Genomic DNA, 27086 nt, shown 5'->3' on the forward strand with positions numbered 1-27086 from the left:
AGCATTAACACAACAAACAACATTACCTTGTCCATGTTTTACATAAAGTATAAGAGTGTTTAGGTGGATGATGTTGGTCAGTGTGTTTTTAGTGATTGCCAGGGTAGAGGAAGGCCAAATAGACTAGGTTTCATTAACATTATAATGTTCCTAGGTTAGTATGTTCCAGAGTTTTATGATTAAGAAACACACTTCTTAAGTACCTGAGGTTTTTTTTCCCTGTAACCATTTGTATCTCATTTTATTATACCACGTCTATTTGGAGTGCTCAAATCACCCTTGCAGAAGTACACACCGTTGGGTTGACTCATTTGTTCATCAGAAAAATAGCTGTAGTGTATCAAGTACATACTAAGTGCCAAGTGTTCAACATCAGTTTCCTTATCTGTGAAATGGGGATCCTGAGAACTACTTCATTGGGTGCATATAAATCAGTTAATAAGTTACTCCTGTCTATGTAACAGGCCTCAGTTTTGAGCTACAGGCTAGACTTTGTTGACCTGACCATAGAGCTGCTGTTCCATCCTTCATCTCTGTTGAAAGCTCCTTTCTTCTGCATCCTCTCTGTTGCTTGTTGTTCTTTTTTTTTTTTTTTTTTTTTTGAGACGGAGTCTCGCTCTGTCACCCAGGCTGGATGGAGTGCAGTGGCACGATCTCGGCTCACTGCAAGCTCTGCCTCCCGGGTTCACGCCATTCTCCCGCCTCAGCCTCCTGAGCAGCTGGTACTACAGGCGCTTGCCACCATGCTTGGCTAATTTTTTGTATTTTTAGCAGAGACAGGGTTTCACCGTGTTAGCCAGGATGGTCTCTATCTCCTGACCTCGTGATCCGCCTGCCTCAGCCTCCCAAAGTGCTGGGATTACAGGCGTGTCTTCCACTCTTAAAAGCTTGCTGCTAATCACTGTTGTTCTTGCTCCTTCACTTTCCTCTTTCTTGTCTTTTGTGTATTCTTTTCATATGTAAGAATCTTGAGCTTGCTTCTCGGAAAGCAGTCAGGGAGAAGTTTCAGCTGTTTTAGAGTGCTAAGCAGTCCTAGAGGTGGGGTCACTCAACCCAGCAGGAGAGTTTTTGTTCTTCCTGGCCTGGGATCAAGCTGTGAATGTTAGGTGCCCACCAAGCCACAGAAATTGTTGCTCCACAGTCATCCATAGTTCCTCTGCTGACCTAGTTTTTGGATGGAAATTCATTCCAGAAATGTCCCGTAAGCCATCTCTAGAGAGTGGAAATTGGAGGATCAGGTTTCCTGCTTTTTATTTACATGTGGTAGTTTGGAATTCTGCTTGCACAAATTCACTTGAGATTATCTAAAGACTAAACTTACTGTGGTGCTGTCTGCATTTCCTGTAGCTTCCTTTTTTCTATTTTTAATGGGTATAGCATGAGCATGTTTAGAATGATAACACCAGAAACCTCACTGTAATTAAATACATGTGCTGCTTCAGTTCTAGAAAACTCCCAGGTGTGTTTCTAATCGCTGCTGCATATAGGGATTTTTTTAAAGATAAAAACAAAAGATATAAATGATAAAAGGAAATCTGAGCCAAATATATAATTATACAGATGAATGTTGTGGTGTTATATTGGACAGCAGAGTCAAATCATGTTTCACAGGAACGGTTTCAGGTTCCCCTGAGTCTACTTTGACACTTCCATTTAAAATGCTGTGAAATGAAAACCTAGTTGACTACAAAACTGCATTTTCAGAATGTATTTTTGTAGCCATATGCCTGGCACTTAACTAGTATTTAAAAACTGAGCACTCAAAGCTTCATGATTTTTTAATCAGAAGATATGTTTTCTTGATTCCCTTACCATATATTCATTTTGCTGTAATAAAGGGTTAATCAGTCATGCAATGAAAATTAATAAATTCAAAACCCTTTTGCATATCATATGAATAGCTAGCACTTTTGAATACTTGCTATATGTTAGGCAGTGTTTGATGGTATGTATGTTATTTTGTGTCATTCTTTAATACTTCTTGGAGGTAGGTATTGTTATTATCCCCAATATTTAGGTAGGGAATCAAGGCTTAGTAAGGCGAAGTAACTTTCCCATGGTTACACATGATGTAAATAACAGTGCTGGATTCTAAGCCAGTGGCCCTAGCAGGTTCTCTATGCTGCTTTGCATCTTAAAATATACTTGGAAAAAGAATCAATTATGGAGTTTTAGTACTGTGAAGATTCCTAGGCTCTACTTTAAGTCACAAAATCTAGCCCCGCCCCCCAGATGTTGCTAGTTAAGTTGATCCAGGGATATATCTTTAAGAAATATTGCCATACTATCCCCCAAATATGTTTTATCATCAACAGGACAAAGGACATTAGGGAAATGCAGAGACCTTAGATGAGCGAATCCATGCATTTGATGATGGCTGTAATCCACACCAGGGGCAGAGAGGATTCAGTAAGTGTCACAAAATGAGTTGGAGGACAGAGCCAAGCCCCAAACCCACCATTATTCATAATGCCATATGAAACGGGAGGACAACTTAAAATTTAAAATTAAATTCATGAGAAGAAGAGGCAGTATTTGAGCTTCATAAGACACATTATCCTATATGTTCTTTTAAGGGACATTTAGTACTTACAATGAGTACTGTCCATGAGTTCCTTTTGCTGAATGATATTCCACAAAAACGTAGAATTTTCCAAGAAAGTGTGTGTTCTGAGTAATGATGAAAGAAATAGTAATTTTTTTTTTTTTTGTTGAAGTGATCAGGTAAAACCCTCAAACTAATGATTCATAAACATTCTTCATCTTCAGTTAGTCCATTTTATTCTCCATACCTGGCTGTTTTGAGTAGCTGCCATTATATGAAAAAGAGACTTAGCTCCCTGGTGTTGATCCAAAGGTTTTGACTTCAGTTGATACATAACTGTTGCAGAATTACTCATTGTTTATTAAATATCTTGACTATAAGAAACTTTGCTTTTAGGCCTCATTAGAATGTTTAATAATAATAATTTCTTCATACTCTGATGTATGTTAGAGTTCGTAGTCAAGATGTGTGTCAGATTTGTAGTCAAGAAACTGCGGATGCCGTGCTAGCCTTTCAGTTACTGTAATTTCTACTTGGAGTTATACTCACAGGAACTTTCGAAGCTTTGTGGTGGTCTTGGACATTCAGGGTGTGGGGCTCTGTCTTCTGTCCCTTAACCTGCTTTCCTGCAGAGAGGCCCTCCCTGTGAAGAGAGCCTATTATCTTAATAAGATTTCAGTAAGAGGCTCCTGACTTCCAGTCCCTCCTTGGGGAGTCCTGTCAACTGGCTGGTGATGTTGAAAGTGCTAGAAGATGTTGCCCTTTTGTGGACTAGAAATACGTCACAAACGGGCTTCCGGCTCACCACTCATTTGTTTCAAGCCATTGTTTCCAGCCAGGATTCTGACACCAGGTGCTGTGATAGTAGAGCCACAGCTGTGTGTTCCTCATCCCTGGGTTGGGCTGCCGTTCAGAGAAGAGGTCACTTGGTGGGTATACCAGTTTGCTAAGTCTGCTGTAACAAAGTACCACCAACAAGGGGGCCTTAAAAACAGAAATGAATTTTCTCATAGTTCTGGAGGCTGGAAGTTCAAGATCAAGGTGCGAGCAGGGTTGGTTTCATTATGAGTCCTTGCTTCTCAGTTTGTGGTTGGCTCTCTTCTCTCTTTATCTTAACATATCCCTCTTTATCTTCCATGCCTGGCTGTCCTAATTTCCTCTTCTTATAAGAACACCTGTCATATTGGATTAGATACTTAACCTAAATACCTCTCTAAAGACCCTATCTCCAAATACAGTGAATTCTGAGTTCTGGGGGTTAGGATGTCAACATGATTTTGGGATATGGTGGTAGGGGGGAGCAGAATGTAATTCAGCTAATAACAGTGGGAAAATGTTAGCTCATAGACTGATGGAAACCAAGGGCAGGGGTGTGTGCTGTGGTAATGAACAGTGGGTTCTACACCCTGGAACCCAGGTTGATTTCTTTTGGTAGTATTTGCTCAGGAGTGCTTTATGAAAGACTTACCATGAAGACAGAGCCTGTATTACCATTGATGACAGTAACAGCTACCGTTTGAGTGCCTGTTTGTACCAGACTCTTTACACGTCAACTCTGGTCCCCACAAGGATGAGGATGTCGCTGGTAGGTCCGTTTTAGAGAAGACTGAAATTCAAAATAATTAAATTACTTTTCTGAGTGTGCAACACCAACCTAGATTCAAACACAGCTCTGCAAAGCTAGTCCTAGTTTCGCTGCACTGTGTGGCCTCTGTGTCTTGCTTGCTTTTATTTGCGGAAAGAGTGCGGGACTTGGAGTTGGAAGATGAGGTTCGTGCCTTAGCTTAACCATCGAAGTCTGACTACCTTGGGGCAAATTTAACTCTGTCTGAACTTTGGTTTCTTGACTAGTCACATGATATTGGTGATAATATCTCTATCACTGGAAGTATAAGCATTACATGAGAGTGTGAACAAACCTCTCATAAGCTCTAGGTCATGTTGAATTTTGTTGTTAAAGGAGCAGTCCATAATTACACAGAGAATCTGGTAGTGGAGCCCATCATACCTAACAGACTCTAGGTGAGCCACTCTGAGCTTTAGTTACCTTTTCTTTAAAAAGGAAAGTAGTACCTGGCATGTGGTAGCCAGTGTAGACTGTTCTGACCTCCTTGTCTGAATTGAGTTTGCTGTTGGTTTCTGTTTTGTCTAAACTTAGCCTTTCATTTTCTGTTATTATGAGCACCAAGCATTCATTTTCCCCTGGTGATAGTGAGCTGCATGTTTGGCTATTAAGGTTTTAGATGGGCAGGCTGTTGCAAACCCGTTTAGTAGCCATTAATCATTTAAAACAACAAAAGTACTATCCAGAAAGTGGAGTTTCAGTTTTCCATGCATTACCTTTGACCATAAGTGAATTTATTTCCTGGGTGGTAGCAGTGTTTCTAAAAATATAAATGATCGGGGAAAAAAAGCATTAAATGCTAAAATTCCTTAATAATGGGCAAATGGGATAGAAAATCAGTCGGTAATAAGAATTTTATATTGAGAGATAATTATGTCCTGTGCAGGCATAATACATATACTTTCTTTACTAGGAGCACAACTAGTTTTCAAACTTGGTGTTCTCTTTCCTCCATGACTGTCACTTCTTTATTCCAAAGGCACCTGAAATATTTTTTTGCAGGTGGCTGTATTATAGAAATATTCAGTGACATTAATTTTTCCTTCTTCTGTTGAAATTATGAAATATTACACATTTCCAGGAAAGCACCAAGAATATTGCGGATACCACCTAGATTTTGCTATTGCTGATACTTTGCTTTGTTTGAAATTAAAAAAAAAATTCTGAAGCTTAAAATTTACTGCCCTACTTTATAGGCACCAGGGAATTTGTTATGTTCAGGAATACTGAAGCATCAAAATGAATTTTTTTTGAGACAGGATCTTGCTCTGTTGCCCAGGCTGGAGTGCAGAGGTGCAATCATAGCTTACTGTAACCTCAAACTTCAGGGCTCAAGCAATCTTCCTGACTCAGCCTCCCAACTAGCTGGGACTACAGGCATGTGCCACTGTCCCTGGCTAATTTTTTTCATTTTTTGTAGAGATGGAGTCTTGCTATGTTGTCCAGGGTGGTCTTGAACTCTGGGCCTCAAGCAGTCCTCCCATCTCGGCCTCCCAAAGTGCTGGGGTTATAAGCATGAGCCACCATATGCAGCCCCCAAAATGAATGTTAAAGGCCAAATTGGCATTCTGGCTCTTTGTCTCTGTTTCTTTTTATAATTATTATAAAACATATCAATTATAAACATTCAATTAAGTTATATATAAAATACTTATTTTGGTCAAATATTATAAAAAATAATCACCAGACTGTTTGAATCCCCACTTTATAACTTACTAGCTTTGTGTTTCCTAACCTCTTTGAGCCTCCTGTGGCACCTGTGGATATTAGGGAGATTTTAAGCTTTAGAAAATGACGTATTCCACCCAAATTTGGTGCCATACAGGCAAGTGGGCTGTGAGCCATTCTAATGTTAGGACTGGCTGTCTCCTTTTCCAGCCAGTGTTTTCTAGTGGCCCATCATATAGCTTGATACCCTTGACTTTCACAGTAAAAGGAGAGAGAAGTTCTGGTCTCCACTGCCTCTCTCCTTACTTTGCTGAAGTCGGCCCTTGCCATCTTTGGAGTTGGTGTGATCCATTTCTGCTTTGATCCTACTGACAGTGCTGCAAGTTTAGCTGCTTCCATTTCTCTCCTGGATTTAGTAATTTTTAGTTGTAGAAGTGATGTGACTGCATTGAGATTCATCCTGATCTGATTTGCCAGAGGAAGCAAGCAATATTTGGTTTTCCAGATGGAGAAATATTGTGTTTTTTAAAACTCTGCCCGCAATAGGCAGTGTCTGTTTTATAATATATATTATACCATGTCAAGGTCAGACTATTTAGACTTTTATTCTTCTATTACTTGATAAGTGGACAAAAGAGAAGGGCACTTTAGTAGCATCTTGACCTTGTTAGATGGCTGGGATTTTTCTCACTGATCATTTTCCTTCTCTTTTCATCTTTCTTCCTTAGATGTGGGTCTATAGACGCACGTTACATCTTCCGTAGCCCAGGGAATTCCCTGGACTTGGCCACTAAATTCTTATTCTACTTTTGTTATATAAAATAATAGGCTGATTTTTTGGGGGAAAAATCTAGGTTATGGAGTCTTTTTTATTCACAAATAGGTATCTTCCTTCTGTGAGAAGCATTGGTTGGTTGGTTTGCCAGGAATGTAATTCTTTCTCTTGTGGACCCGCCGTCTGGGTTGTCAGTGGTCTTAACTTTCCCTTATTGTGTGAGAACGGCCAAGCTCTGGCATTGCTCCCAGGAGGTGCTTCCCCAAAAGGGATTTATTCTATGAGTCATTTGAATCTAATAATTAAAACAACATGTAGCTTTTAAAAAAATTTGTTCTTTATGTATCATATGTAGAGAGAACAGTATGCACATTATGTGTGTAAAATTTGATGAATTTTCTCAAAGTGAATATGCCCGTGTAACCAGCACCCATATTAAGAAAGCAGTTATTCCAGAAGCATCCTCATCTCCTTCAAGTGAGTGCCTCTTCCCTGAGATGAACACTAACCTCTAACACTGTGGATTAGTTTCGCTACTCTTTGAACTCTATATAAATGTCATCATACGGGATGTCCCATTGTGTCTTGCTTCATCTACCAAATGCTGCGTCCATGAGGATCATCCTTGTTGTGTGTGGCAATAGTTTATTCTTTCTCATTTCTGCATGGTTATGCCATTCTATTATTATTTACCTATTGTGATTGTGACAAATTATGACAAACTTAGTGGCTTAAGGCAGTACAAGCTACTTCTTTTCTGAAAGGTCTTTCTAGAGGTCAGAAGTCCAAAATCAGTTTCACTGGGCAAAAATCAAGGTATTGGCAGGGCTCATTCCTTTTGCAGGGTCTGGGAGAAGAATCAATTTCCTCGACTTTTCCAGCTTCTGATGGCCGCCGAGATTCTTTGGCATGTGGCCCCTTCTTCCATCCTCAAAGCATATAATTCCAATATCTCTTGCCTTTTCATATCACCTTCTCCTCTTCTGTCATCAACTCTTCCTGCCTCCTCCTTAGAAAGACGCTTTTGAGGCCCAGAGCAGTGGCTCATGCTTGTAATCCCAGCAATTTGGGAGGCCAAGGCAGGTGGATCACTTGAGGTCAGGAGTTTGAGACCAGCCTGGCCAACATGGTGAAACCCCATCTCCACTAAAAATACAAGAATTAGCTGGGCATGGTGGTGGGCGTCTGTAATCCCAGCTACTCAGGAGGCTGATGCAGGAGAATTGCTTGAACCCAGGAGGCGGAGGTTGCAGTGTGCCGAGATCATGCCATTGCACTTTAGCCTGGGTTACAGAGTGAGACTCTGCCCCCCACCCCCCAAAAAAAGATGCTTTGGATTATATTCAGGGCCTGCCTGGATGATCTTGGATAATCTCCCCATCACAAGACCCTTAATTTAATCACACCTGTAAAGTCTCTTGGCACATAGAATAACGTTCACCAGTTCAGGAGATTAGGATGTAGATATTTAGGGGGGCCATTTTTCAGATTGCCATACCTGTTGTGTGAAGATACTATCATTTATCCGTTCTACTGTTGATGGACTTTTTGTGTTGTTTTCATTTTGGAGCTATTATTAATCATGCTGCATGAGTATTCTTAGTATTCTTGTGCATGTTGTTCTGTGACTGTTATACACACCTGCTAGTGTGTACATACACAATGCACACTTATGTGGTATGTATATATTTAGGAACCAGTCACATGGTAAATGTAAGTTTAACCTTAGAACATAATGTCAAACAGTTTTCCAAAGTGGTTGTACCAACTTCTGCCCCTGCTAGTAGTATATGAGGGTGCCAGATGTCTTTTATAAAGAATAGAGCATAGTTTGGACCTGGCAGTTTTGTTCCAGAATTACACCCATTGTTAGCCCCCATTTTAGATCCTTTGTATGTATTCCAGGATTTTCCAAAGTGTGTTTAGATGAATAGGAATCTGCAGAGACTGTCGGAGAAAAGACTTATTTGTCTTATTTTATCAAATGAATTACTGGACCTTGCTAGGAGCCTCACACTGCTGATGAACACATTAAAGGTCTTAATCTTGTTTAACTTTATATTTGTTTGCTTTATGTCTGCCAAAGTGGATTGAACTTTGACTCAGTTTCCCTCTTTTGATATCTCAAAGAAATAGAGTTCCAGGAAATACCCTTTGAAAATTCTGGAATGAATCATAACTCAGAATGTTCTTTGCCGAAAAAGTAATGAGAAGTTTCCTTTTAGAAGGAAAAAATAAACCCACTAGTATGTCTTTGAGTATTCACTCCACAAAGACCTATCTATAGAGAAATAAAAACTATCAGAAAATGGGTTGAATTTGCTCCTATTTGGTTTTGTTTTAGTGAAACCTATACGTTAGGGAAAGTTGATTTGCAGTATTGCAATCTTAAATTTCACATCAAGGAACCCAATATAAGAAATAGTTTCTGGTAACTGAGAACAGTGTCAGTGGGATTCATCCAAAAATGTTTGTCCCTGATGTACTTATTTTCCATCTGGATCTCTCCACATATTCCCCCATGCCTACCCCTGTTCTTACCTTTTTTTACTTCTCTAAATCAGCATGTAGCAGAACAATCTGCTTCTTATTTCTTCTTTCTTTTGGTCTTTGTTTTTTTGTTTTTGTTGTTTATTTAAATACTAATCTTGTTTGTATGGGTAATGGTTCTCCTTGTACCATATAGAGGTCAAGATCTTTGCTCTGGGGCACACAGCCCACCTGGAAGGTACCCCGCTCTCCTTCCTCAAACAGCCCTGTACCTTTCCTGGGTCACACAGTAATCTGCTGATGGTGATCTGGGGAGGACAGGCTGAGACTGATGGGACCATAGAATATGAGTAGAAGAAGCACTGAGAGTGGCTGAAATTTAGTTTTGAGGTTAAAATAACCAGTGTATGGATACCCCTGAGCATGAGCTCTATAATTACTTCACCCTTCTACCTGGCTTATGTTGAGTATCAAGCAAGACATGAATATATTACTCAAATATTAGGAAATACATTACTCAAATAATATTTTACACTATGAAGTTTGGGCTTGTTTACCCTCCTCCATTTCCGTTGCATTTCTTCTTCAATTGAATCAACATCTTTACTATAACTTTTTAAAAAGGTTTTAGTTTGTACATTACTTATTGCAAACGTTTCGTAATATGCCCTCTTGTGGGGTATATTGTGATGCTTTTATTAGTATATTAGTTGTCAGTATTTATCTCTTTCCGCAATGGCTGGTGAGACAAGTGGAGAATTAGAACTGAGGTTCTAATCTAGTTTGGTGATCTCAGCTTTAGATCTGAAGACTTAGAAATGAGGCCTGGACCAGATGGCGTCTTATTTTTTTCATGATGGTCTAGTTCTGTCTCAGTGATGACAATCACAATAGCTGAAATTTATTTCCGTGTGCCTGATACTCTCATAAATACCTTATATATATCTCAACTCATTTAATCCTGATGATAATTCCATGATGAAAGTACTTTTGTATTCCCATTTTACAGATAGGAAAGTTGAGACACAGAGCTTTAAGATCACCCAGATGGTAAGTGGAGGAGCCACCATTCACACATAGGTGTCTAACACCAAGTCCCTCTACTTAGTCTTTCTGCTAAACTGCCTCTCTCTGGCTACACAGATGACTCACCCAAGCTGCTGTTTAGTCTCCGGTCTTTTTCAAACACCTAATATGCAAGGGGGAGACATGAGTCACCTGAGGGTGTGAAAATCAGGCCCTTTGTTAGTTGCGCATGGATATGTTCTTGGTGGCCTAGGAGATTTCACTAGCCACCAGTCTCTGTGCCTGTGCCTGTATCATCGAAACTGTCCATTAGGTTTTGGTGTTTTCTCCTAAGAGAACACAAGAATGAGGCTCTCTGACTTTAAAAATCTAGGAACTGAGAAGAACAGACCTCCTATTTATGAAGATAACATTGAGCACCTCTCTCTTGATGTGCCACTGTCTGGACAGGCCTGGATGAATCCTGCAGCACAGTGATTCGAGTCATTGTTTTCCCTTCTTCATCTGAATTTTACTTTGGTCCTGTGCTCATACTTGGCGTTTCCTTCTGCTGGCAAATCTTGTTTCTCCACTGAAAGTGAATTCCTTGCATTTTCTTAAATGCATAACTGAATATAATACCTACAACTTTCTTCCATAGCTTTTTCTGCTGTTACTGCTTTTTTGTCTTTTTTAAACAATACCACTTTTTGGATAATGAATTGTTGCTTTGCCGCACACTGAGTGGGAGCCCCTGCTCACTTCCGGTCACTGGAGAAACAGTCTGGTCTGTCTGTGGTACTTTGTGGTCCCCACAGGTCCTACCTGTGGTTTTGCTGGGCTTGTTTGGTCCTCTGCCCTAGTAAAGCTTTGGCTTCTCTCACGTACATTCTCTCCTTCCATTGGTATTTGAATCTGTTTCCCCCACCTAAGGACAGACCTCTGGCAGACTGGTCTTTGATGTCAACAGATATGGGTTTATGCTACCCCTGGGGTCCATGATGACTTTCCAAGAGGCACTGGGCCCATGGAGAGTAACAAGGAAATTACTTCAGATGTTCAGCTTCCCTATATACTCTTTCCCAAAACAGATCCACCTGGAGCACAACTGGACTAATGGGTTGCCTGGCTTTACCTCTCCCAAATCTCATCATGTCATGTAGTCACAGGAAGTAATCCCCACTCCTCAGGGTGCCAGAAAAAGGGAAAATGAGAAGATTGTTGTATAGAGGGCATGAATCTAATGTCTTAGAAATTAGTCCTTTTGCAAATCAAATGTCTTCTAATTTTTTTAAACAAAACTGAACATGACCCTGAACAGTTTGTCAAAAAATGATGATTATCATGTAATGTGTTGATGATTTTTTTGGCATAAATCTCAGGAATTTAAAGAATTAAGGGCCACAGCTATCACAACACTTCTTTCATTCCCATCAACTTATTTACATGAACAAGGCTTTTACTTTAATACCAAAAAATGGAGTGGACCGGGGACTGTTGTGGGGTGGGGGGAGGGGGGAGGTATAGCATTAGGAGATATACCTAATGCTAAATGACGAGTTAATGGGTGCAGCACACCAACATGGCACATGTATACATATATAATAAACCTGCACATTGTGCACATGTACCCTAAAACTTAAAGTATAATAATAATAAAATAAAAATTAAAAAAAAAATTTAACCTGAAAGACTGGTTCAGGCCATGACAGGAAAAAAAAAAAAAAAAAATGGAGTGGAATTACTGTTGAAATATTGCTTATTCTGACAATAAAAATACTCATTTATGGATACAGATATCAAATTATCCTATCCATCTCATTGAGGAATGCATTTCCAATAAAAATTTACTTTAATGCTTTAACTTTTAATCATTATAAAATTATACATTTGTTCTCTCAAATTGCATTCTACTAATAGTTTTAATGATAATCTAGATTAAATTTTTAACATTTAGAACCATTTGGTCACAGGAAATAAAAAATACATTTTAATTTTCATAACTATTTTTGTTGCAGAAGGAGTATGATAGTATGATCAATAAAAAACCCTAAAACATAAAAGTGTTTTATTAGGATAAAATTCTGTGAGAGAAATGGAATGGAAATATAAATTTAAGGGAAAAAAAGGAACTATAAAAATTTGAGCGTAAAAGGGAAGGTTGTTCATGTATTTTAAATAACAATGGATACATTTAAAAGCTTGAATAAAAGCAGTTTCATTTTAAAATTTCATTATTTACAGTATGCAAGAAATTATATACCATGCCACTATTTAAACCTAGGATGAACAATTTTAGATTTGATCTCTCTCTCTATGTGTGTGTATGTGTGTATGTATGTGTGTATTTAGAGAGGGGGTCTTACTCGGTTGCCCAGCCTGGAGTGCAATGATGCAATCACACTTACTTTGAACTCATGAGCTCAAGCAATCCTCCTATGTCAGCCTCCCGAGTAGCTGGGACTACAGGTGTACATCACCGTGCCCAGCTAATTAAAAAAAAAATTTTTTTTTTTTTTTCTGTAGAGACAGGGTCTCCCTATATTACCCAGGCTGGTCTTGAACTCCTGGCCTCAAGCAGTCCTTCCACCTTGGCCTCCCAAAGTGCTGGGATTATAGGCATGAGCCATTGTGCCCAGCCTAGATTTTGTCTTTAAATTGTGTTAGAAGATATATGGATTTTAAAATTCTTTGTAGACCATTTCTCCAGGGCATCTGACCTGGACAGGTAGGGCTCATGATAGAAGCATACATCCCTTGTTTGTTGTGTTTTTTGGCTATCACCTTGACTACATTAACCATTGTAGTAGAGTACCATGACCAGAACTGATGTCACCTTTATCATTTATATCTTTCCCTTCTGTTTTGACTGAATTCCCAATAAGCCAAGCAATATCCATTCAACAAACACATGTCTCCTAGTGCATTATGCATGGGTCTCACAGGTGAAGAGGACAAAGTTCTCCCTCAAGGAGCTCATTCTGTAGGGGGAGACCAGCGCTTCTGATCCCAGGCGATGAGTATTAAGCGGGAGGGAAGCGAGGCTTTCCATGGCACACTGGACCCTGAAGAGGAGCGTTTCCTAGAGGAGCCTGGACTTCAGGCTAAGCAGAGCCCTGGAGGATGGAGACCCAGGATGGGCCCAGGACTATCCAGCCAGGTGAGGGAGGAGGCTACCCTATACTCTGTGGCTTGGAGGTGGAGAGGAGGGATTCATTCCTGGCAAAAATGCTGCTATTAAGATAGAAAGAGAGCCATCATTCTTGAATTAGGGGTTAAGGAGGCAGGGAGATGCCTATTTCTATGGTTTTTAAAACATTTCTTCTCTAATTTTCTTATGTAGGCAAAGGTCAAAGTGGATATTTTTACTATTATAAATTAGTAGCTATGCCTATATTCATAAAGAAAGGCCTCCTTTGGCACTTTTAGTTTTGACTGTTTTCTAGCAAATTGTGGGTGAGTACCATATCCAATGTATTAATTTTGACATATGGTTACACCTAGTGCAGTCTCAGCCAGGCAGTCCCTTGGGGTTACAAAGGCATAGAGTTAAATTTCCCAAGTTGGAAAAAGGCTTTCAGAAATGAGTTTCTCACTCCACTTGAAGTGGCTTTGCTACTGTTTCCCTGGGGAGGTTGCTAGGCATTTAATAGATCTCCATGTTAGGAAAATAAATTCTTTCTAGCATTGAAGTCTAAGGTGTTGTTCCCCCACCCCTTGGCCTCAGATTTGTGTGGTGGAGGCTGCAGCTAATCTCCCTTATGTTTATATTTATAAAACGTTTCCAGATGATTATCTCTTCCTGGTATCATTTGGCTAGTCCCAGGTATTCATTGTCTCAGTCATTCCCAGTTAGGCATAGCCCTGCTCACTGCCTGAGGGAAGGAAGGAGGCCGTGGGACCGCTGGGTCTAAGCCTGGTTCCTACCACCTCCCCACAGCTGTTAGCCTTCCTCCATCCCTGAGTTCTCACTGGGACATGAGGGACTGCGTTTCAGCTGTGACAGTATTTTGTTGCTCTTGGCCATTGCACAGTGGCTTACATCCTGTGTGCTTTAAAAAAAAAATGTCTCTTTCAAAGGCTCTTTTCAGAGTCTATGGGATGAGATGCACAGAGACAGACTATATATATTTAAAACCAGTGGGTTTTTTTTTCTTTTTTTTTTCTTTTTTTTTTGCTTTGCTGAGAAAAAGCATAAGCAAATGAGAGGGACTCTATTTGAAGGTTTTTTTTGTTTGTTTTTTTGTTTTTTTGTTTTCAAAGCACCTTTTACAGCTTGTCTTTCGGTATAAATGATTAAGTTATGATGTCATCTTGCTCCTTAGACACACGGCTTCTTCTACATGCTGGCATTTTTGTATGGTGAAGTCTCTTTTGGTGCCTCCTGAACCTGAGGACCCCATGAGTGCCTGGGCCAGTTCAGGTGCCCAGGAGAGGCTGATATGAGAGTGAGTGTGCTTGGCCCCGTGTGTGGTGGTATCTGTCTCAGGGCCCCTGGCTCTGGCAAGGTCATGTGGTATATAGCCTTTTCAGAGAAAGGGCCTGAGGGTTTTGTGGACAGCCTGAAAGATATCTATTACAGTGTTGTTTTTTCTGTTTGAAAATAAGAGAACTGAGCTGTTTTGAGAAATATCACTGAGTTTTTTACTAATGCCTCATCTCCCCAAGTTTGTCTGGATGTGCTCTGTTCCGGTAAAGCCAAGTTCCTGTAAAGCTTCGTTATCCTCCTTGAATCTTCTTCCTCTTTTGTATCATGCATTCGAGGGCTTGTTCCCTCTTGTTCCCTCTCGAGCTATTCCATTTCTCTTCTGTGCTTCTTGCTTGACTTCGAGTATAGTTTGTGAGTGCAGCTCTGCATTTTGAAAGCATGACCTGGCGTCATTCTTAGTAATAGCTTTGTAAATTCACATGCTTAACCATGTAGACTGTAACTTCCCTCTTCTTTGGTCTTTAACACCAAGCAGAGTTATACACTAGCATTACCTAAGCAACATCCAATTTCCGAAAGTGTCTAGAGGAGAAGCGGCAGGTATTTCAAATGCAGAATGGTTGGGGTGAGTTATGGGAAGTGAACTGCATATGTTTGGGAATTATTTTCCTTTTGGGGGCTAAGAATCCAGCTACAGTGGACCAGTGTGAGGTTGCATTGATGTAGGTCTAACCACCACCAAAAGGCACCGCCTTGGGTACCTCCTCTTGTTTGGCTATTTTAAAAGCTTTCTCAAACCTAATGAGTTGTAAGAAAAGATATAACTATTCTTTTTTGGAGGAAATATAAACTAGTTTTTTTTCCCTTACGAATCTTCTTCCCAATGGGAAATCACAGAGAAACAGGGCAGGGAAGGAGGAATAAGAGTTTTAAAAGTTTTCTTCTCTAGGCTGAAGAATTTCCTATTTGTAAACTATCAGCTGAGTAAACACTAAGACCAAGTGTTTAATGGGTTATACATTATTGTAAATTGTTTACAAAATGAGATGAAATCTTGTCCTATTGTTCAGTGTTTTACAGATTTGCTTTTCTTTTTCTTTTTTTCAATTTATATTACTTTAAGTTCTGGGATACATGTGCTGAACGTGCAGGTTCGTTACATAGGTATACAAGTGCCATGATGGTTTGCTGCACCCATCAACCCGTCATCTAGGTTTTAAGCCCCACATGCATTAGGTATTTGTCCTAATGCTCTCCCTCCCCTTGTTCCCCACCCCCTGCTTTTCTTAATTCATTGAAATTTGGGCAAACACTAAGATCTACTACATTGTTGAAACAAAATGCAATTAAACCAGACCTTTTTTTTCCTTAAAGTATTTGTGTTTTGTTTTTTGTTTCAGAAAGATTTGTAATTACTTTGCCTGAATTTATGCTCGAGAATTTTCAAGCAGTTGTCATAGTCATTGTACCATTACCTCCTTTGAGGAGAGGGAAGAGTTATCCTTATAGAGAGTTATGTATCAGCAGTAGGAACAGATATTCTTGTTCAAATGTAATAATAGTAATACCATTAATACTGCAGCTAATGCTTATTAAGCACTTTACGTATTTCTGAGGTTAACGCAAAGGCCTTCGGTAGTTCATTGTGAAATAGGGTCTCAGATGTTTATTAGTGATACATATTGTTTAATATGAGTTTATTAAAATTTTTTTATCAGGAATGATAATTTTTTTAAATGGAATGTTGGTATTTAACAATATGGTCACATATTTCTTGTGCAATTTTTTGAAGTTTTGATACCAACGTTATGCTGACTTCTGTAAAAAATGAAATGGGGAAACTTTCCTTGATTTTTCTGTACCATGTAACATTTTCAATAGCATAAAAATTCCATTAAAAAAAATTTGATAGTGTCCCCTGTAAATCATTGTCAGCATTGTCTATTTCCATATAGTTATTGAATTTTTCAGAGTCTACTTTGTGAATCAAATTTTGATAATTTATATTTTCTTAGGAATTGTCTCTTTGATTCAATGTATTTTAATTTTCAGCATGAAATTTTATATATTCTGTATACTTGTATTAAATTTCCTTTGTCTCTTTGGCTCTATCCATCTTATTTCCTATGTTGTATAATTGTATTTTTTCTCTTCCTTGATGAGCCTCGCAAGAGGTTTGTGTATTTTATTGATCTTTTCAAAGAACCAGCTGTTCCACTGTTTATATTCTAATCCTTTAATTTCTGCTTTTATCTTTTTAATGATTCTTTCTTTTGTTTCCCTGAAGTTTATTTGGCAGGGGTTTTTTCAGCTTGTTGAGTGGAATAATTTTTTATTTTCTTGTTTAATAATTTTTAAGGTGACTTTTTCTCATTTTCTCTGTCCTCAAACTTTAAACATCTGTCCTTTCAGCTTTGCTTTTAGCCGATGACCTTGATGCCTGCATTGGTGAGAAAATGGAAACAGAAGAGAGCGTCCAGAGACTCCCCCATCCCATTTCAGCATCGCCACTCCCACTCTCTCTTCCTGCTTGTTGTCTTAGGTAACTATTCACACTTCTGCCTAGAGCCAGTCCTTTCCTGTTCCCCATCCTGTCTCCTCTCACCTAGTCAAAAGAAACCTCCTGGCGTTTCTCCCCACCTCTTACACCATCAGACTTTCCTTCTCTCCTGCATTGTGCGTGTCCACACATAAGTATGCTGTCATTGTTTCATCTTCCATTAAGCTTCTCTTGCCCCCACTTTCTCATCAGATGGCTGCAATTTTATTGCTCTGCTGTGCAGTCAGATTCCTCTAGAGTTATACTTGTCTCAAATTCACCTCCCCCTGCTCTCTCTTGAACCCAGACTATAGGCTTTCATCCCTTGCTCTGTAGAGACTACTCTTGTCAATGTCATAATCACCGCTCTCCACTGGTCATTGAAACATAATGGTCAATTCTCAGGCCTCATCTGGCATGACACAATAAGTTCTCACTCTTTTGTAATGTGTGGTCCTCACTTGGCCTCTGGGACACCTCCAAGTCTTAGTTGTCTTCCTAACTCACTAGTTGCTCCTTCTCACTCTCCTTTGCTGGTTCTTCCTTTTCTCCTTGACCTCTTAATGTTAGAGTCCCAGAGTGTAGTCATAGTCCTTCTCTGTGATCTATTTTTACCCTGTCTTTGTGATCTAGTATAATGGCCACCACCTATAAACTTATAGCTCCCGAATTTATATCACTAGCTCTGAGATCTCTCACGAACTCCAGATGTGCACATCTGACTGCTTACTCAACATCTCGAATGCCTGGTAGGTACCTCCAACTTAATCTGTGTTCTGAACTGAACTTCTTGTCTACCCACCAGTCCTGTTCTGCTGGACTCCTCCATCCCAGGAAATGCCTGCTTCATCTTGCTAGTTGCTGAGGCTATATTGAAATCATTCTTTACTATTTATACTCCGTATCTAGGCTATTGGGCAACTCTTTTTGCTTTACCTTCAAATACATCCAGAATCTCATCACTTCTCACCTTCTGCACTGCTGCTACCCTGGTCTAAAAGCAACCATTTCTCATTGCAAGTACTGCTGTAGTCTCCTAAGTTGTCTCCTTGCTTCCATCCCTGCCCTCTGCCACCTGCCCCACCCCCATGGTGTATGCTCAACAGAGCAGCCAGAGTGATCCTTTTGAGATGTCAGCCAGACCACTCTTCTGCTCAAACCTCTGAAGTTTTGAGTAAAAACCAAAATTCTTACATTTGACTTGGCCCGTTACTCCTTAGACCTTACCAACTCCTATTTTTTGTCCCTCATTCCGCTCCAGCCATATGCTTTCCGTGTTTTTTAGATGTGCCATGCTCTTGCCTCCTGGCTATTTTGAGCCTCTGTGTAGAAATTTTTACCCTATGTAGGGGCTAATTCCCTTAACTCCTTTAAGTCTTCACCGAAAGTTATCTTCTCCATGCGGCTTAGAGTGACCACCTGTTTAAACTGTAGTCCTTCTCCTTACTCATTTACCTGGTTCTGGGTTTTTTTTTTTTTACATAGTATTTTAAATTATCTATCAAATTATATAATTTTTATTTATTTATTGTCCACCTCTCTCATCAGAATGTGAATCCCAGCAGGGTAGGGATCTGTGTCTCTGTTTTTCACTAATGTGACCCAAGCACAAAGAACAGTGCCTGGAACATTGAGGGAACTCAATGAATATTTGTCAAATAAATGAGTGAATTAAGGCTATGATTTTGCTGCGAGAAATATTGGCTGCAGCTCATAACATTTTATATCCAGCATCCTCATTGTACTTAGTTTCTAACTAGTTTTCTGGGATTTGTAATCTATTTCTGAGTGGAGAGAGATGACTGGTTAGGGAGGCAATCATAGCTGCATAGCGAGGGAGAGGTGTCTGGGGAGAGATACCCTCCTTACTTCCGAGTCAGAGTCTAAGGCGGAGAACGGGACACCTGCCAGATATGTAGTTGAAAAGGGATGTGTCTGAATCAAGGAAGTGGTGGAATTATGAGGCAACTTCCCTCCATTTTAAATAAAATCTATTAATGGAGTGAAGTGAGGGTGTTATAAGCAGAAGCATGGGTATATTTCTGCCTTTTCATCACAGTGGGTGCTTTTCAAATTCTGGCAGTAATTTGTGCTTTCAGCAGCCTTGGTTTTTGGAGGTGATATGAATATTTACTCCTACGTCTTCAGTGGCACTTCAGTGAGAAATTGGGAGAAGTAGCACCAGGAACTTAGGTACCATTTTAAATCAGGAATCTGTTAAGGTATAAGTTCTTGGAAGCCCTTGTCCAGAATGTTAGTTGACCATTTCTCAGTCCTAAAGGGTTCTTCTTTCTATTAGTAATTGAAATGATTCTTCCTAAACACAGTGGGATCTATTTTAGATTCTGGAATCTTGCTCTCTCATATTAAGCCCTATTTATTAAATGTCATGAGAAATAGCCTAGAACTAAGTTTGTTCCACTGCTGTAGAAGTGTCAGTGCTGTAGACTATAATTGCTGAAAGAAGGGTTAGCTATGGAACTGCTGACTTTGCCCTTTCAGAAGGCTTCCTTCTGGAATTTTTAAACAATGGCATCAAACCTAATTGATGAGAAAGATGCTAATTATTTTTTATTTTTGATCACATATCGAGATGAGAAGAATTTGATTTATTAATGGAAAGTGCCTGTTCCCTTATGAAAAATTTGAGCTTTCATTATGGCTTTATGAATCCATAAAACTGGGAGTCTTTGGAGGTGCTACTTGTGTGCTTTTTCAAGGAATGATCTTAAGTAGATTGTTCCTTTTTACTTTTTAATCAGAGATTCTTGTATAAAATTTTTCTCACCCAGATCATTTAAGAGGAAAGACCAAATTACTTTAAACAAAATTACATTTTTGTTAAAACATTGCAGGTTATGACTTCCTGGTTTGTTTCAGTCTCATTTGTAGGAAGAACATTTGGTGATGGTGAAATTTACGTCAGGCAGATTCTCCCCTAAGCAGTTGCTGGACTACCTCACTATACCCCCACCCCTCTTTGCCAAATACATGGCCAGGATATTTCTGGGGATGGTGAGTTGAAGGGAAACAAGGGGGATATTTTAAAAGTTTGACTCAAGAATATAAAATATAAAATTGGCACTCTTAGTGGAATTATTCTCATTTTATTTCTTAGCAAACATGCTGATTGCATGTTGGCCCACTTTACCAAGCAAGGTATTAATTTTCTTCCTAGCAGAGGAAAGAGCTCAGTTCACTGTATTCTCTTTCCTTTTACAACAGTTACAACAACATTTGATTCGTGATATTTTAGTTGTAGGTTGTTGATTTAAAAATACACTTAGAAGGTGTGGAGCACAGAGGAATACAGGGCATGATTTTGTGTATTGACCTGTCAACCCTGGTTAACTAGCATGTCACAAAACAAGTTCTAAACTCAAATACAGTAAATTATCCAGGTGGGATTCTGGCCACTTGTGATGAGTTACGGATTTTGATTTGGATCATTCTTGCCCTAGCTTGGTAACAGGGGAGTGTATTTATGTATTATGAAATGTGAGACCTTTTCAAATAGTATTATGGTCATGTGTCACTCATGAATGGGGATATGTTCTGAGAAGCATGTCATTAAGCAATTTTGTCATTTCGCAAACATCATGGAGTGTACTTCTACAAACTTAGATGGTGTAGCTTACTACATACCTAGGCTATATGGTATAGCCTATTGCTACTGGGCTACAAACCTGTATAGCTTGTTACTGTACTGAATACTGTAAGCAGTTGTAACACAATCATAAGTATTTTTATATCTAAATGTATCCAAACATAGAAAAGGTACAGCAAAAATATGGTATTATAATCTTTTATAATATATAATTATAATATATGTGGGCTGTGGTTGGTTGAAACATTATACAGCACTGACTGTATCTTAAATGGTCAATAATTTTTACTTAAAGAAATCTTACTAGTTGATGGCTTCAAAGATTAGGCTCCCTCTATAGGCCACAGCCATCCCTTTGTTTCTTTTTGCATGTTCTTTTCTTTTTGAGAATGCTTAAAATTATTATTTCCTTATTTTTCAGCTAATTCTGCCTTGTTCTTAATGAAATATTATTTCATTTTAAAGAAATAGTGGTGTTTCTGGTCATATGATTTTTCTGTTTTTTTAATTTTTAAATTTCTGCCAATTTTGTTCAATTGATATCTTAAGGACAAAGTGATACTGTATACTTTTTTAAAAAAATCAAAACATTAATTTTTCCTCAGAAAGTTTAAAAGATGGCTTTATGCTTTTTTTCTAATTGTAAGTATTGTTTACAAATTTGTGTTTTAATAAAAATTAATACATGTGAGATTTAAACTTAAAGAACACATGCATAGTTTATCCTTCTCGTTACATTTTTGATTTTTAAAATGATCATAAATATTGGATGTGCCTATGACTTGTTGTCAAATAAAAGCCTCCTTCCCCAAAGAATAAGATGCCTGATGGTTCACTTGCTTCAGCTGCTGTCTGAGCTTTAATGGTTCTATTATCAACAAATATGAATGCTCAAAATGTGGATACTAAAAGCCCTGTCCTTTGTACCTTCATGCTGAAAAAGAGAATATCTTTTCAAAATAGTATTAACTTCCAAGAGACACTTCTCTGACTTCTAAAACTTCTTAGATGGGCTGCCTGTACTGCAGGTGTGTGATATTATAACATTTCTGATATCTTTTGGTCAGCTAGCTGGTCTGTCTAGCCTTATATTTCTTTCCATTCTGTGTCTATTGAATGAGATAATATGAGGCAAAAAGAATGCATCATATGTGAGTTTCCATTTTCACTTTTTAAAATGCAAATATTTATTGTGTACCAACTCTGCAGGAGGCACTATGATATGTGCCAGGGATTCACTATGTTATGTGCCGGTTGAAATAGGTGTAATCTCTGATGTTGATGATATTCACTCATTTATTCATTGAGCAAGTATTTTTTGAGTGCCTCTTTTGTAACAGTAATAAAACAGACAAATAATTTAGCTGGCATTCCTGGTTGTGGAGATACACACAAACTAGATAATAAGTTAAAATCTTTATACGTATATGAACATTTTGTGTGTGTGTGTGTGTGAAGATGTACACATAAGTTAGATTATAGTAATAAGGGGAAAAAAGAGAAACCAATGGAGGGAGCTAGGAAAGGGGTGGGGAGGCAATGATAGATTGAAAATTTAGCTAAGGTGGTCAGGGAAGGGAGGGAGGGTCTCACTGAAGTGATGTTTAAGACTTGGAGGAGGTAGATAAAATCCTTCTTGCCTAGTGGAAGTGGCAGGTGTATAGGTAATCTAATTTTCTTGGGGGCAGGAGAGCAGAGAGATGTAGAAATAGAGTATGCTGGAGGCCAAAGTAGATTCACTTAACCACATTCCAAGGTTCCAGCAAGCCTCTCTAGAAGAAAAGACTCCTGAGTGGAATCTCAAAGGCAGAGGAAGAGCACAGAGGCAAGGAAATGATAAGATAGCTGCTTGGGTGTTCCCACTGAGCAGTTATTGAGGCTGGAGTTGCAGTTGAATTTGGAAGATGCTTGGGGTCAGTTTGTGAAGTACCTGGTACACCATGCTAAGGGAACTTTGATTTGATTCTATAGACACTGAAGGCCTTTAAGTTGGGGACTGACAGAGTCAGGTCTGCATTTCAAATAGATCAGGGGTCGCTAACCCCTGATCTAAGGTTCTTACTGGTCCATGGCCTCTTAGGACCTAGGTCATACAGCAGGAGGTAAGCGACGAGCAAATGAGCATTATCACCTGAGCTCTGCCTCCTGTCAGATCAGTGGCATTAGATTATCATAGGAGTGTGAACCCTATTATGAACTGCGCATACGAGGGATCTAGGTTGTGTGCTCCTTATGAGAATCTAATCCTGCCCCTACCCCCAGTCCGTGGAAAAATTGTCTTCCATGAAACTGGTCCCTGGTGCCAAAAAGGTTGGGGACTGTTGAAATAGATCATTTGGCAGAGGGGTGGAGGCTGATTTAAGGGGACCCATACAATATAGTGGAGAAGGGTTTGGAGACTGTTCCAATGGTTCTGGTGAGAGATAGTGACCTTAGTTAGGAAGTGGTGTGCACAGGGAGGGGAACATAGTGGCCAGGATAGATTTAGGAAGAAAAGTCAGCAGAACTTGGTGGTTGCATGTAAGGGATGAAGATGAAGAAGAGTCAAGTATGTTTTAAACTTATAGTGAAAAATACATTTATATCACAACCTGGTACACATGCTACCAACACACACATAACTAACTGGTCATAAAATATGTTGCTGAAACAAACTTTCATGAAACAATATTTTACCTTATGGTAGCATACTCTGATATTTTCTCTTCCATTCTATTTCAATTTCTGCAAAATGCTATTCTATTTCAGTTTCTGCAAAATGACTCTGCATTGATTCCACTAATGGGTCAAGACCCACGGTCTGAAAGTCACCTGCACAGGCTTCTCCAGGTTATCCTGCAATGGACAGGATGTTTCTTCCTCATTAGATTTCTTTGTGGTCCAGTGTATCCAGACACCTTTCACTCAGTGGAGGGGAGAGAGGAGGAGGGCAGTAAAAAGTATAGTTTCCAAGTTCAGTGCACTATAGAAACATTTGAGGCAAAATTGTGCTGAGCACTTCTTGAGCCAACTGATGGCCACATGGTGAGACAGTTAAAGAGCTGCACACAAGGATGGTTATTTGTGTTGCAGATGTCATTTATGTGGCTTTTTTGGAGGGAGGGGAGAGGGCTATCGTTTTTTTTCCTACTCCCTTTGCTGCCAGAATGCCTGTTCTCATTAGAATACAGAGTTGGTAGAGTTTTGGGTGCCGGAAGAGCCTCAGAGGTCAGGAGTCCACAGGTCCCTGGTCCAAAACTAGTGACTACTTGGTGTTGCCTGTGGTCATGGGTCACTGTCAACTCCTTGTGACTCACTTGGATCACTCTTTATAATGTTGCAGTGGAAAGCCCCCTGCAGCTGTGGTGTTTGCTTCTGGGACTCTGGGTTGGGTTCATGTTGAAAACCATTGTTGGTTTTCTCTGATCAAATAACTCAGGTTTTTAAGCTCTAAAATGGGGGATAATACCATATACTGGGTTTGATTGTTTCATGAGGATTAAATGAGACAACATGCAGAAAGTATAGTGTCTGAGGCACAGGAAACATTTAAAATAAATGGCTACTGTTATTTTCTTCCTGTAACTAAAATATTATGGACATTGGCCTACTTTGCTCATTTTAATTTGCACTAGGAAAGATATGGAGCCTTTCTCACTTTCATATATAGAATGAGCTAAAATTAAAGTTCTTCTGTTGGTGTGTGCTGAAATTTTTAACAGTATAGAAATTTCCATGGAAAATAAAAATGCATTTGAATTCAGGAAGAAGGATACTAAAATACATCCAAGTTGAGATGGTTCCGTAGGTAGCTTCTTAAGGACCTCAGTTTTGAATTTGCTTAGGGTGAACAAAGCTGTTCAACAGTGCTGGCTTTATGCCTGTGAATGACATATACATATCTATAATATGGAATATTTTAATTTACTTTTGCTATAGTCCTTTGCGTCGTAGGTCTACAGTGCATGTCTAATGACTAAAAAAATTTTAGACATGAGATTTATTTAAATGATGGAAATGTCATGACTAAGAGATTGATTTCTTCTGACTAGTGCAAGTTAGAGTTTAGCTCAAATCATTAGTAAAAGTCTACGGAGAAAGGTAACAAACAAAGGACACCTTCACTGGAGGAATTTTATTGGGACCAGTTTTTATGTTCCCTTTAAGTCAAATGTGGAAGACAAGATGAAGGAATGTTATTTTCCTTTGGAAAACATGGCAAAGTCTCCTTAATGGAAGTCGTGATGGCTTTCTTTATACCAGTAGGTGGTATGTATAAGTTTCTAAGGAAATAACACCAAAAGTCTGTCCCTTCTGTCTGGGTCCCTTGGAGGGGATAGAGGCTTACCCTGAGGGGAGGAAGGAGAGAAGATTGTTGAATGCTGTTTGCTTCCTGGGTTCCTTGGGTACCATCAGCTTTTTTGATAATTTTTCTCTGTTTTGTAAACAAAATACTGTATTCTCAGGGAAGTCAAAGCAAAACCACGTAATAGTGAGCTCTTAAATTTGCATTTTAGAAAAGGGAAAGAAGTGCAACAGCACTTAACTGACCCATTTGAAAGGAAGGGTAAGTGTGTGTGTTTTATGTCAGTGAATGCAATGATTATGCAATTAGGAATATTTAGGTATGAATTTTGTACTGTGATTTGAGTAAGAATAGTATAGCTTTTATTAATGCTAGGCTTTGAAAAGGGATATCTGTTAAATGATGGAACACATTAGAAATCAGGTATTGGGGGTATATGTGTTAATATGAACATTTACATTACAAATGAAATATCTGAACAGGCTTTGTTAGATAAATGATGCTGTTGATTAGCTTTATGCCTTGAAATTCTATATATTTAAACAGCTTTGTACTTGTTTTGCTTCTGTTCAGCAGTGTGCCCACACATTTGGTCTGACTACAGCATTCTTTTTTCATAATGAAATGTATATTAACTATGCAGGCCCCTCATAGAGCAGTGTTTTAATCATTCTCTATTGATTTATACCTCACATCAATGCTGCATATTGAGGGCCTCTTATTCTAAGTCTGCTTTACTGGGATTCTCATTCTGTCTACCTGACTTGCATAATGTTCTGGGACCCTCTTAATTTTTCCCCCACTGTGGGAAGCCATCGTGATTAGGAAGGCACAAAAGATTAGACGTATCGTTGCTTTCTCTCAGCTTTCTGAGGTGCATAGGAGAAATAATGGGCTTAGAGAAATATTGTCATTGTCCATAACTGATAATAGGTAACAGAACTTATTTAAAATTAATAAGTGCTGAGTTTCAAGCTTTGGCATGAGCCTGAATGATTTATTGCAAGCCACGGATGCCAAGAGAATGTTTTGCATTTACCAAAGCAGTAGGGTAATGACAAGAGGACTGTCAGGGAGCAGCCTCATGAACAGTGGTTGTTCTTTGAACCTAGGGTTGTTGCTACAAGCTGACCAATACGAATGGGATTATTTTATTTTTTTTCTTTTGTCTTAATGTTAATTTTAGAGAGAGGAAGTATAGATCTGGTGGATGTGGATGAAGGATGCCTACATGGGCTTGAATAAATAAATCAAATCCCCTGACCTCTGCCTGCAACTTAGAATCTCATTTGGATTGAAAGACTAGAGCTAGATTTTACACATGAAGAAAACTCTGCTCACTTCATTATTATTCATGGTGAAATCCCCAAATCTCCTCCCTGAAGAGATGTATTCTTCCCAGCAAATTAAAACATCCTCTTTTTTTAGAGGCCAAATGATGATGATGTCAACTACTGATGAAGATGAATAGGTAATTCTTTTCTCAATTTATACATTCCCCCCAACCCCCTCTACTGTTCAGGATGGGATTTACTCATTTAAACCAAGATCCAATATTTCATTTACTCCACTCTTGGTAGGTTGTTCGCATTGTGTAAATCTCCTGGTCAGGTAATGGAGGAAAATGTTTGAAAATGTGATAGCTCATTATAAGGGCATTTGACATAAGCATATTTGCTGATGACGGATTGCCGATCAGTGGTAATTTAAACAGATTCTGAACAGTAGTTAAGGTAGAACATTTTCCTCAAATTAATCTGTTAAGATCAGGATAGCTTAAATTACAAACATCTTTCAAAGTCTGTAAGGAAAATGTAGATTTTTGAAGCGGATCATCCTGTGAATATACATACCCCTTATGCCTACCTACTCTGTGTGTGTGTGTGTGTGTGTGTGTGTTTCTGAATTCAATTATGAAAGAAAATGTTGATTGACAACATGCCATTTTGCTTTATGGATCCACATATACCAACCCCTCCCCCTCCCCCAAAAAAAATAGGGAAAAGAGTACTTTACACAAATGTTGGAAAATGAGAAACTGAGACTAGAATGGGGGAGTTGGCTTTTAAAGTTGTCTAGATATTGGCAATAGAAATAGATATCAAGTCCTACCTAAGTA

At 39.0% G+C, this 27086-nt stretch overlaps 1 protein-coding gene across 8 annotated transcripts in view, besides 1 other annotated feature; it reads left to right on the forward strand.

The window, feature by feature from the left end:
- The window catches only part of MAST4 (microtubule associated serine/threonine kinase family member 4), a 573201-nt gene that overhangs the window by 107520 nt on the left and 438595 nt on the right, over positions 1-27086 (forward strand). The gene's annotated exons all lie outside the window — the stretch shown is intronic.
- Positions 4581-4740: an enhancer, noted in NCBI's record as "active region_22622". NCBI's record gives its function as "activates an Ori minimal core promoter by ATAC-STARR-seq in GM12878 lymphoblastoid cells {active_cell/tissue: GM12878}" and the evidence as "EXISTENCE:reporter gene assay evidence [ECO:0000049][PMID:35858748]".

The sequence above is a fragment of the Homo sapiens genome, chromosome 5 (assembly GCF_000001405.40).
Source record: "Homo sapiens chromosome 5, GRCh38.p14 Primary Assembly".
NCBI classification, from domain to species: Eukaryota; Metazoa; Chordata; class Mammalia; order Primates; family Hominidae; genus Homo; species Homo sapiens.